General features: G+C 40.2%; 1 long non-coding RNA gene across 1 annotated transcript; it reads left to right on the top strand.

Moving 5' to 3' along the window:
- The first annotated feature begins 2,333 nt into the window (after positions 1 to 2,333).
- LOC105377687 (uncharacterized) lies at positions 2,334 to 9,094 on the top strand. The gene is made up of 3 exons (XR_941144.3): positions 2,334 to 2,402; positions 3,106 to 3,356; positions 8,728 to 9,094. It is a non-coding gene; the product is annotated as an uncharacterized LOC105377687 (long non-coding RNA).
- The last annotated feature ends 3,775 nt before the right edge of the window (positions 9,095 to 12,869 follow it).

Below are 12,869 nucleotides of genomic sequence, written 5' to 3'. Positions count from 1 at the left end.
TAAGGAAATTTTCTTCCATCTCTCATGTGCTGATGATTTTTTTACAATTATGAATGGGTTGTTTTTCTCTCCTTGAAACACAACAGTTCTTTGATGAGGATCCGCTAAAAGTAAACTGTCTCTGTTTATCTGAAAGTGTTTTTTATTTTGTCCTCACTCTTGAAAGATAGTTTTTATTAGCACACAATTTTAGCTTGATATTTAATTTATTTCCATGCTTTGAAGGTATTTGATATCCCTTGTGGTTACTGAGAAATCAACATCCATCTGTGTGAGGGACATGCATTTTCTCTCTGGCTGCTTTTAAGATCGTTCCTTTGTCTTTGATTGGTGTTCAGTTTCATTGCACTGTGTCTAGACATGCATTTCTTTTTATTGATCCTACCTAGTACACATTCTGCCTTCTGTATCTATGGATTTGGGTTACTTATAAGTTCTGGAAAATTATAAACCATTATCTCTATGAATAATCATCTTCTCTATTCTCCTCTTCTGGGTCTTTACTAGGCAATGGAAGCAATGATACTTCCTCATTCTATTCTTCATGTCTATCAATCTGTTATATTTTCCATCTTCTTGTCTCTCTGTTACATTCCAGGTAATTTCTTTAGCTCCATCTTCCAGTTTACTGATTATTATTATTATTATTATCATTATTTTTTTTTTAGTAGAGATGGGGTTTCACCGTGTTAGCCAGGATGGTCTCAATCTCCTGACCTCATGATCCACCCACCTTGGCCTCCCAAAGTGCCTGTTTACTGATTCTTATTTAAGCTATGCTTACTATGTTATTTAATGCTAGCTTAATGACAAAAACGACACTTATAATTTGTAAAATTTTCACTTTTCATATTGGCTAAGTCATTTACATGGTTAATTTATAAAATAAAACTATTTAAAAATATATACATTTATACATATTTTATATACTATATATGAAAATTTCAAAATCTGAAGTTTTGGAGAGGTCTAATTGTATTTTTTGATGTGTTTACTGCTTATTATTCATGATGGCTTACTTCTTGTGTTTTGGAGATTTTAAAAATTCTGAGCTCGTATTTTGTTAAACTTAATAAGAATCTTGGTGAAGTATGCTGAAAGTGCTTTCCTCCAAAGAGGATTTATATCTGCTTCTTCAGGAAGCTGAGAGACACTATTGACCTGGAACTATTATACATTAGTGCCTCTGAAGAGCCCAGCTTAATGAAATTGTCTAAGGTTCAGCTCCTCCACCTTGCAGGCCCAAAGTTCAGAAATGATGCAAACAATTTCTCAACTTCCAATATACACATGCTGCTTGTCCTATCAAGAGGTGGGCCATATTTCTGCTTCCCTTAGATCTGGGCTTGTTTGTCTTCCTTTGACAGACAGAATTGCCACAGAGTTGACATTGCACCCGTTCTAGGCATAAGCTTGAAGATGCCTGGAGTTTCTGCTTTTGCTGTCTTGAAAAATCAGATCCACCACTTAAGAAGCTCAGATTAAACTGCTGGAGAGGCCCTGTGGTGAGAAGGAGAGGCAATCATAGAAGTTTCAGACTCATCTGAGCTTTGGGTAAATGCGGTCACATGAGTGATTCCAGATAACACCATGTGGAGGAGAAGAACTGCTCCCTCTGAGCCCAGCCAGCCCATAGAATTATGACAAATAATAAATCATTATTGTTTTAAGCTGGTAAATGTTGGGGTGGTATGTTGTGAAGCAATAGATTTATGAGACAGTAATATTCAGCGTATTTGTCCAAAATGTTGCTGGAAGTAAAATCTTATTTGAAGTTTCTCCCTGGATTTATATGTTCATTTCATTCATAAATGAAAGCCTAAGCCTAAGCTTCTATCCTTTAGAGCAGAATTGCATAGTTGTAAAGATCACAGGCAGGATTCCTGTTTTGGATTCACCCTTAATAGGTTTGAGATCTTAATTAATATTCCTTAATCTCTGAGCTTCAAAATTTTCATTTATCAAATAGGAATAATACTAGTGTCTACATCATAAGGTTATTAGATAGATTATATATCAATCATTTAAAGCCATTATTCAGAGTCCAGCTCATAGTTACACACTTAGGAAATGTTTTCTTTTGTTATAATCCATCTTGCTTTTTTAAAATAAATGTCATATCTTCTAGGTGTTTGTGATATTGTGACATAATAAGAAATGTATATTTGGTTTCTGTCCCCGGTTCCTGGCACATACCAAGAAAGACCCTTGGCCTCTCTGGAGCGACAAAAGTGTCTTGTGTGCCAATGAAATGACTGGTGGCTGGGGGCTTCTGGACAGCCTCAGTATGGGGGCCAGTTGCCTTGGGAACCAACCAAGTGATTAGAAGATTGGATCTTTCAAGCCCACCCACCACCTCTGGGGGAGGAGAGAGAGGATGAAGGTTGACTTGATTGCCAATGGTCAGTGATTTAATCAATCATGCCTATGGAATGAAGCCTCTAAAAACCCAAAGAGAATGGGTTTAGGGAGTTTTCGAGTTAGTGAACAAGACAACACTCATGTGCTGGGAGGGTGGCATACCCCAACTCCCTGGGTCTGGAAGGTCCTGCATTTGGAGACCCTTCTAGCCTTGTCCTTTGTTTCTCTTTGTGTTCTTTAAAATATCATTTGTAGTAAACGGGTAAATCTAAGTACAGCGTTTCCCTAAGTTCTGTGAGCTGCTCTAGCAAATCAATTGAACCCAAAGAGGCAGTTGTAGGAACCCTAATTTATAGCTGGTTGGTCAGAAGCATGGGTCACAACCTACGACTTGCAATTGGCATGTGAAATGGGAAGAGGGTGGCGGGGGGCACTCTTGTGAGACTAACCCTTAACTCATAGGATCTGATGCCATTTTCAGCTAGACGGTGTCAGAATTAAATCAAATTATAGGACACCAGTTAGTTTCCACTGGAGAAGCTGGTGTCAGAAGTGTTGTGTTGAGTGACTGTATAAGAGAGTAGAGAGAAAAAAAACAGTTTGATTTTTCCTTCAGAGTGCTCGATAAACATTTTTTAAAAAATTAAAGCATCAAGGAATTTGTGGATGAATTTCTTTGAGTCCTCTTCAAATCATAGCTTGTCCTGCTTCACTATGATTTATTATTGTTTCTTCCTGCTCTAGGGCTTGCCCCTTCCTGGTCAAGACACTCCAGCATTAGAATCAAGATATCATCCAGTTTTTTTCCCTGATCTTTACTAATTTCAGAGATGAACATATTTTAATCCGGGTCAGATCAGCTCCTTGCAGGGAGGAATTTCTATCATTCTCTTTCAAATGTACATCCAAGGGCAGAGTTCACATGAAGACGTGGGCAAAAAATGCTCTTCTGGCATGTTCTCAAGTCAAGAATCTCATTCTGGGAAGAGTCCTGTGTAAGTAAGAAATCTGATTCTGCTCATCAAAAAATGTCATTCAAGATCTCGTCCTGCTTTAACATGAGGCCTGGTGAAGTGGTGATTATGCTGGCTGCCTAAACACTCATTTTTACAATTTTATAATGGAAGCCTAATAACTCAGTGGAGTAAAGGAAGAAAAAGCAAGAGATAATGTTTTTGTAGACAATGTAAATGGGGTGCAGCTACTTTGAGAGTGCTTAACAATTGCTGCCTGTCCGCTCCTTGAGCTTTGGATAAAATGTGCTCCAGCATTGCCCTGAAAGGACACAAGAGAATCTGGCCAGTTGCTGATCCATTTTCCACTGGGAAACTGCTCTGATAGGTGGGCACCAAACAGAAGCCATCTCAGGATGGTCAGCAGGGGTGGAAACAGTAATGAGATGGTAGCATTTTGTTTTTATCCTATTGACCACAACCATGATGTTTGCTTAGAGCCCACAGAAGGACACTTCTTCATCTTCAATCCAACCCCATGTTAACAGAACTCTGAGCTGATTGCATCAAGTAGTGAGAATTTGCTTTTCTATATCTTCATGCTTTTGCCTATCTTCATGCCTTTGCTCAGCCAGCATTTTGCAGGATTCGGTGAAGCTTCTTGGTGTGCTCTCTGTAGCTGAGGTGTTAGTTGGCTGAAAATTAGTGAGTCTCAGGGAGTTCTTGTTCATTTCATACATCCCAGGTAAGAGGGAAGGAGAGTTTCTGTTTAGCTGGGAATGGAATCCCACCACTTAGAAGAGAGGGAAGAGGATGTAGGAAGAAGAGAACAGGAGCATAAAAGAAAAAGGCAACGAACGGCTGAAGGGCACAGCTGGGCTGGGAAAGAGAAGCAGCAGAGGGTAGTGGTTTCAGTGAACAAAACTGTGTTCCAGTCCTGTCTTTCCTACTTACTGCTTCTATGATTTACAAGAAGCAGTAAGTAACCCCTCTGAATCTCACTTTCCTCTCTATAAAATGGGATCATTTGTTTTTTGTTGTAAGAAAAGTACAGTGTGTAGCACATAGTGATTCCTCAGTAAACGGTTATCTGTTATTGTTACTAATTTTTCTTCTAGACTAAGTCTGTGTGCTATCTACACATCACAGATATCAGTATTGTCATAAGGAGTTTTGTATCATTTGAGGAGTTGGACAGACCACCACCTGTACCGCATAGCTCCTGGACCAGCCTGGCAAATGGGCCCTGAAATTCCAATCTTTGGAGTTAATCCAGGAGGCAGTAATCTTCCTCTTCTCTTACCTATCTCTCATTTAATGTGAATTTATTACTCATGAGTATGTAGTAACATATTAAAGCCAGAAGTCTTAAACCAGTGCATGACACAATCATAGTCTGTTCTCATATTCTTTCTTTTATGAGGGGAGGAGTAGTTTTCTGGACACTGTCAGACAATATGAAGTGCCCTGATCACTGTAATTCCTGAATTTCAGGCTCACTTGGTCCTAAGATGGTCAAAAGGTCAAAGCTCCTACCTTCATTCATATTTGTCACCCGCTGCACCCTCCACTAGGAAAGAGGACCAGCCTTGTTCTTTCCCTATCCTCCCTCCCCCTGCCCACCTGCTCCTTGTTTTTCATGGCTTGTGTCTGGTCCACATGAACTCTATGGCTCTGGAATATTATAGGGCTAGAAGAAAACCCAAGCACTGCAGCCTCTCCTTAGCTGGTTACTGCAGCCTCTCCTTAGCTGGTTACTGCAGCCTCTCCTTAGCCCGTCTCCCCTTAGATGGGCTCCTTAGCAGCCCATCTTTTGCCCTTCAGATTTTAGTCTCTGTGTGCCACTGTCAAGCCCCTAGCTGCCTTGGACAGCTCCTGTCACCAGGATATAGCAAAGTGGAAGTGAGGATGAGACTCACAGCACAGCCCTCTCCAAAGAAATCCTCTCCATGAATCCTCTCTCCCAGTCCTTTTATACCCTCACTCTGGACGAACGGTTCTCAAAGGAAATGTCTGCCTTTCGGTCTGCCACAACCCACCTTAGCATTTGATACCTATTGTGTCTTGGTCCTCAGTTAACACTTCTAATTTAACACCTTGTTACATAAACCCATTCCCAAGGGTACGATGGTAACTGTGATGCATCTTTTTGGAGCATGAATTTTTTACTCACCGATTTGTGGTGAGAAGGACAGGTGATGAAGGGAGTGTTTGCAGGGCAGGGAGTTTGAATATTTTAACTGATAAGAAATTCAAATTAAAAATTCAAACAGATTATATTACGGAGTAGAAAGCAAAATTGAATACACATCAAAGTAAAACATGAGATGTCAGAGTAATACCTTATTTAAAGTGGCTTTTACAAGCACTCCCACTCCCCTTCACCACTAGAGTAAATGTTCACACTTCTCTCCCATTAGGAGAGTGCTTGGGGTAGGTGGAAGGAGGCTTTTTTTGAAGCCCTGCATGAAGACATTATCAGCTATATACAAATTACAGTGGAGATAGTAATAAGTCACTCAGTAGCTGCACTGACCTCCTGACATTCATTATCACATCTTTTGCAGACTTATATGTTAAATTATCAGAGATGAGGAAACAGAACACCACCACACTGCTGTATGTTTTCTGGCAGAATATAAGGAGTAGGTGTAGGGTAGAAAGAACCTCTTAGGGCCAAGAATGGTGTTTCAAGCTTGTAATTCCAGCACTTTGGGAGGCCAAGGCAGGCAGATCGCCTGAGGTCAGGAATTTGAGACCAGCCTGGCCAACATGGTGAAACCCTGTCTCTACTAAAAACACAAAAAATTAGCTGGGCGTGGTGGCTAATTTTCCTTGTTTCCAGGCTATAGGCATGGTGGCAGGCATCTGTAGTCCCAGCTACTTGGGAGGCTGAGGCAGAAGAATTGCTTGAACCCAGGAGGCAGAGGTTGCAGTGAGCCGAGATTGCGCCACTGCGCTCCAGCCTAGGTAACAGAGCAAGACTCCATCTCAAAAAAAAAAAAAAAAAAAAAAAAAAAAGAACCTCTTAGAATTGTGCTGTCCAGGATGGTAACTCCTCCAGCCACATGTGGATACTGAATCCTTAAAATATGATGAGTTCAACTCAGATGTGCTGATATGTAAAGGACAGTCTGGATTTCAGAGACCTAGAATTAAAAAAGGAGGGGAAAATATCTCATGGATACATTTTTTTCATATTGATTACATGTTGAATTGACAATGTTTTGAATATATTGAGTTAATAAAACATTCTTATAATCAATTTTACCTTTAAAAAACTATTAAAGAAATGGGGCTCCTAGAAAATTTAAAATCACATACATGGCTTGCATCTGTGGCTTGCGTTCTATTTTTATTGCTTAGCTTTGTCTTTATATCGACTTATCCAATGGTCAGCAAACTATGGCCTATGGATCCAATCCAGCTAATTGTTTATTTTTGTAAATCAAGTTACACCAGAACACAGGCACATCCATTTCTTTGCATATTGTCTATGGGTGTTTTCAAACTTCGATGGCAGAGTTGAGTTGTTACAAAAGAGAATGTTTGAAGCCCAGTCTATTTACTATTTTTTATAAACTAGGAAAAGTTTGCAGACCCCTGATAATCCAACTTTTTCTATATCGTACAGGGGAGAAAGCAAAGCCCAGAGAGGGAAAATGACTCAAAGGCACGTGAACATTCCACAATGGGGCAGGGCTTCACCCCTTACCTGCTCCTTGCAGTACATTGCACCTCAGTTTACTCAATGGGGTGAGACGGTAAAAGGGATTCTACCTATCAGCATGGACTCAGCTTCCATTTCACAATGAGTCACTCATCTCCATCAAGGGCACAGGAAGGCCCTGAAGAGAGGGCAAGGCACAAGGAAAAAGATCACAGAGAAGGCAGGAACCCACCTTGGTGGGGCAGGAGGAGGGAGTTCCTATGATAACCAGCCTACCATACAATTTTCTTACACATTATTTCAAAAATAGCTTCACTGTGTCACAGTTTAATGCTATGCTCACTGCATCTCAAAGGGTTGGTACAAAAAACTCCATTTAAGGAATATTGCTGAGTTTTTGCAAAATCCTTTTTAAACTCATTGGCCATTATATTACTCATTGGTCTTTCATAGGGATAAGTCACATGATACATTTCTTCTAGGACTAAGTGCCAGAAAAAATGTTGCCCTTCAAGATGGACTTGCATAGTGTTTTTTAATCCTATAGTGAGAACTCTACAAGCCAACATGTTGCTTGGTTTATTGATTTTATGAGGTCTGTGCTTAATTTTGGTAACCAGCTTATCTAAGGGTTCTATCATATTTGTGCCTTTCCTTCAGTCTCACTTAGCTCTAAACATTTATAGTAATTGTTCACGTTTAGTAATACATTTCTTTTCACACTTACAGTGCTGTCTTCTTTGCACTTATTCAACAAATATTTATTTAAGACCAAGTAAGAGCCATACCCTTGAGATAAAAAAGTAATAATTTCTATTCTCAAGGGATTGACAATATAAATGTTGAAGTGAAGAAAAACACTTACTAACTGGCCAGGTGATCAATAGTGGCCACCAACCTTTTGAGTGGAATGGGTGATACCCCATACAATGTGATTTCATGAGCCCCTGAAATCTCTCCCTAGTACCCCAAATATCATTTTCCTACAAACTATAGTCAGGATGATAGGTACATAATTTGTATATGACCAATCCCAATTTCTGTGCCCATGGCAGATGTCACTAATGTACCACAGTATTATTTTATACTAACTGATTATATTCAGGTTGTGGCATGAAGCACACAGCCACTGCCAATAAGTCAGAAAGGGATCTTGAATCAAACCCATATGTCGTCTCCTAAAAATCCACAAGTAGAGGATCATTCATTGGAGTAGAATTGTAGCTTCCTATTCAAAAGTACATAATTGTGGGAGGAGCAAAACTAGATAGAACGTGATTAACACTTTAGTTAATCAATTAATTTAGGTAATTTAGTTAATGATCAGTCATTAACACTTTACTGTAAATTAAATAACTTCTTTTCTTGGCAGCAGGCTTACATACGTAGTTTGATCTTAAGACATTGGCATCAAGAGCTGGCAAAGAAGCAGAAAGTGAAAGATTTGAAGAGGGTTCAGAACCAACTTTTGCCTGCTCCACCATTTTGCATGCCAATGAAATTCCACCTGGATAATAAAGAATCCCTAAACTCTACCTTGGGCCTCAAGGGCAGGATTTTTGCCTCGAGCTGCCACTTGGTTTCACTTCCCTTAGCTTTCTGTCTTCTTTCTCAATTCTTCCTAACTGTAATGCTTCTGAACACGTGTATTTAAAGGAGATTAATCATTCAAATACCGTAATTAGTTCAAGAATTGTGTCTTTTTGAGATGGAATGAGCTAATTAATTTTTTTTTTCTTCCAGGGAACCTACTCTCAGATGTGAGCTAATTAGTGAGCTGCACATCAAAAGAAGTGAAGTGTATCTTGTAAATAGGATTTCATTTAAAACAGATCAAAGAAAGATCTACTGAATCACTCCCTCATCCACTGATTTCTCCAAGCATCAGGCAGACAGTGAAGAGAACAACAAGTCACGAGAATGATAAACATAGCTCCAAAGAACAACTGTGATGCTCAAGTCAAATATTAATGAGAAGAGAGAACCAAATATATCCAGGGGTGGAATTATACTTCCTGGGACATGCATGGTTGGGTTTCTGATGTAGGCCAGGAGGGCAGTAATCTGTGTTTGTGACCCAGTCTACTTCTAAAAATACAAGGTTAGAAATAAGATCTCTAGACTCTGTTCTGACTGACTGGCTGTGTGATCTTGGTCAAGTTGCTTAACCTCTCTGAGCTCACTTCTCTTATCCATAATATATGAATCCCAGTCCTTTCTCCACTCACTTCCCAAGAGACTTGTGAAGATCATGTAAGATGATTAATGTGACAAGGGTTTGGAAAAAATTTAAAATGGCTATACAAATGTGAAGCATTTTTGGCATTATTAACAAGGTCTCCATAGGCAGAATAAATTAGAAGAAGAGAAAAGTTTCCCAGATGATTTTGGCCAAAATTCCAGCTCCTGAGGAAAATAGCATCCCAGTGGGCTGCCTCCGCAGATCAGATTTGCAGCATAATTGCCCAAACCTCCTTTCTCCTGTGATTACAGTTAGAAATTAGCTTCCAAAGAAGAAACAATTAAAACTAAGAAAGGAGATGAAAAGGTCTTTTTGTTTTCTTTTGAAGTTCCAGATTCCTGAACATGGCAGATTTTGCAAAAACAATCTTACTTGTCCTTCTAATGTTTATTCACATTTCCTCCAGCTTAGAAGGACAAATGGGGCCAAGCAGCTGGTGATTGACAGTGAGAGGTGTCCTTTGACTTGAATTTAAAATGCAAACTGATGTAAAGGAAATCAATAAGTACATTTTTGCTACAAAAATAGTTTCATGTCATTTTTCTGGTGGTGGCTGTTGAACACAAAGAATTTCAAGGTGGACAAGAAAGTAGGTAGGATGTTTCCTAAAGAAAAGCCCTACATAGAGAAACAAAGGCCAACTTACTCCTGCAAGCAAGATCATGAACATGTTTAGAGAGAGGTACCCTTGGATCTGGTGATCAGTGACTCAGGGAGCAGCTGGTGAGGGAGGAGGTGGCTCTAGGCAGTGTTGGGAAGGCCTCAGTCTCTTCACATATTTATTATACTTGGTAACAATATCAATCCAGAGCTGAGAACTAGGTCCATGGACACCCTTAGATCAAAGACATGAAAAGGTCCTCTTTCTTTTCTGAGCCTCACCAACCTCAGAAGGTGTACCTCTTCCTAGAGGGAAGAGCACATAAGAGACAAAAAGGGGCCTGAAAGTGACCCTCCCACAGCTTCAGACAAGACAGAAGGTCCAGGTGAAAACAGGGGCAGGAGGGAAGTGGAGGGAGAGAATAGTCCTATTCTGAACAGTAGCACTTCAGGAACTATGGCACTCGGCAGAGGTGACTTTCTTTAACTTTTTTTAAAAATCAAGGTAAAACTAATATCATATAAAATTAACCCTCTTAAAGTGTGCATTTTGGTGGCGGTTTAATACATTCGCAATGTTGTGCAACCATCAGCTCTAATTCTCAACATTTCCATCACCCCCAAGGGAGAATATACCTATGAAGCAGTCACTCTCATTCCACCCTCCCCAGAGGCAATGTTTTTACTGGGGACCTTTCTGCCCTCCCTACATTGTTCCCCAAATCATACTCAGGACTCAATAGATGCCTTTTCAAGGCTGGTTGCAAACCCTCCATCCGTGTGTCTGTGTAGACTCAGCGTTTGCTTCTCTGGGGACTAGGGTAAAGTTGGCTTAGGCCACAGGAGACTCCCAAGACTCTGTGCTGAGTGCTGTCACAGGTGCCTTTGCCCAAAGGCCCACATCTCTAACAAAGGCATGCCATGCCTTTGGGGAGGCATCTGCAGGTGCTTGGCAAGAAGCATTCATAGCACATTTAAGGCTGGCTCTGGATCCTACTCAGGAGTGGAAGCATTTTTTTTTTTGATCAGGAAGAAATTTTCAGCTGGATACAAGCCCCTTGCTCCAAATCAGTGTTTCAAGTAATGCCCGAAAGCTTCTTAAGGGACAGTGTCCCATCTCTCATTATGTCCCCAGAAGGCCAGCACAATATAGCACAGTCAATGTCTGTGGAATTGCCCACTAGGAGGTAAAGGGTCAGTTAGCATGCTGGTAAGAGTCTGTCTGGAGAGTCAGCCAGAGCTGGGTTGGATTCTCGCTTCTGCCCCTGTAATATGGATCTCTGGTTTATCTGACCTCACTGTCCTCATTTGCAAAAGAAAGTTACAATAACACTTATCTTTTAGGACTATTGTGAGTATTTATGAGTCAATAGTAGATGTAAACAAAGTGCTTAATACAGTTGCTCCAATGTTGGAGACCTCCACATACCACAGGAAAAGTATTGTCTCACTTGTAGGACTGAAAAAGAGGGATAGAAGACACATGATGTTGTTGGAAAAGTAAGGAACAATCTTGGCTGGAGAGACAAGCAGGGTCAACTGGAAGACAGCAGGGTGGTTTCAGGCCAACTAACAGGAAGCAAGACATCACTTGTGCTTCTCGTTTGCTGAGTCCCAGAGATGATGCTTTCAAAAGCCTCTTCAGGCAGCTGGGGGCCAAAGAACAAAACTGATGGGGTCTGTCCAAACAACCAGCCTAGCCTTTAGTCCCATGTGTTCTTGCAAAACCAGAAAAATGAACTTTCTCGACTAACCTCCTACAATAGGACTCAAATGTCCCACAAAGGTCCTGTCCCTTGGCATCCCAGATGAAGGTCCCAGCCTGGGGTGTGAGAACAGAGTCTGTATTAAGCAGCAAGAGGCAGATTCCCAAATACCAGGAGGAGCTTGTTTTAATATGTGGAGTTACATTCTCCGCTCTGCATATCTGCATTCCCATGGGAGGCGGGACACATTTCTCCCAATCCATGTATGCCTCTGAATTCTTCCTACAGCAAGCTAAGCAAACTGTTGACATGAAACAAACTGTTTCTGCTTCACCCAAGTAGATTGTTTTCCGGGGCCCTGGTGCTCCCTGAAACTTGCCATGTTGGGCAAAGAAAAATATTCTATTTTGGAGCTATGATGGATTTAGTTAAGATAGGTCAAAGTTCTTTCCCTTCTTTGTTAGAGAATTGCTTATGTCTTGATTGAAATTTGTTAAATTTGGGTAGGAGCAGTTTTACCAAGTCTATCAAAAATAGAAAAAAAAAGAGAAGATATAGTATCACTTTAATGTATGTGTGTGTGAGTTTACATTTACCTTGAACTTTTTCTCATTCTAAAATGCCAACCAGTTCTGTTGTTTATAATCTAACTGGAAGCAGCTGAAGAGTGATGTTTTGAGACACACCAAGAACTGTTATTATTAGCCCCTCCACTCAACATTAATCAAACAGACATGGGATGCCTTTATGAGAGGCATGAAACTTGGAGAATAAATGAAACTTAGATGCCAGAGTCAAGCTTGAATATCTTTTTTTAATTTTTAATTTTGTGGGTACAAAGCAGGTATATATATTTATGGGGTACATGAGAGGTTTTTTTCTCCTTTAAAATATTTCAATAGGTTTTTGGAGAACAGATGGTGTTTGGTTATATGAATACATTCTTCAGTGGTGATTTCTGAGATTTTGGTCCACCCATCACCTGAGCAGTGTACACTGTACCCAGTGTATAATCTTTTATCCCTCACCCCCTCCCACCTTTTCCCCCAAGTCCCCCAAATCCATTGTATCATGCCTATGCCTTTGCATCCCACTTATGAAAGAGAACATATGATGTTTGGTTTTCCATTCCTGAGTTACTTCACTTAGAATAACTGTCTCCAATTTCATCCAGGTTGCTGCGAATGCCATTATTTTTTTCCTTTTTATGGCTGAGTAGTATTCCATGGTGTGGGTGTATATATATATATATATATATATATATATATATACATACACACACCATTTTGTTTATCCACTTGTTGATTGATGGGCATTTGGGCTGGTTCCACATTTTT

The sequence above is a fragment of the Homo sapiens genome, chromosome 5 (assembly GCF_000001405.40).
Source record: "Homo sapiens chromosome 5, GRCh38.p14 Primary Assembly".
Taxonomy (NCBI): Eukaryota; Metazoa; Chordata; class Mammalia; order Primates; family Hominidae; genus Homo; species Homo sapiens.
The sequence above is the reverse complement of the archived record's forward strand: the minus strand, read 5'-3'. Positions and strand labels throughout refer to the sequence as shown.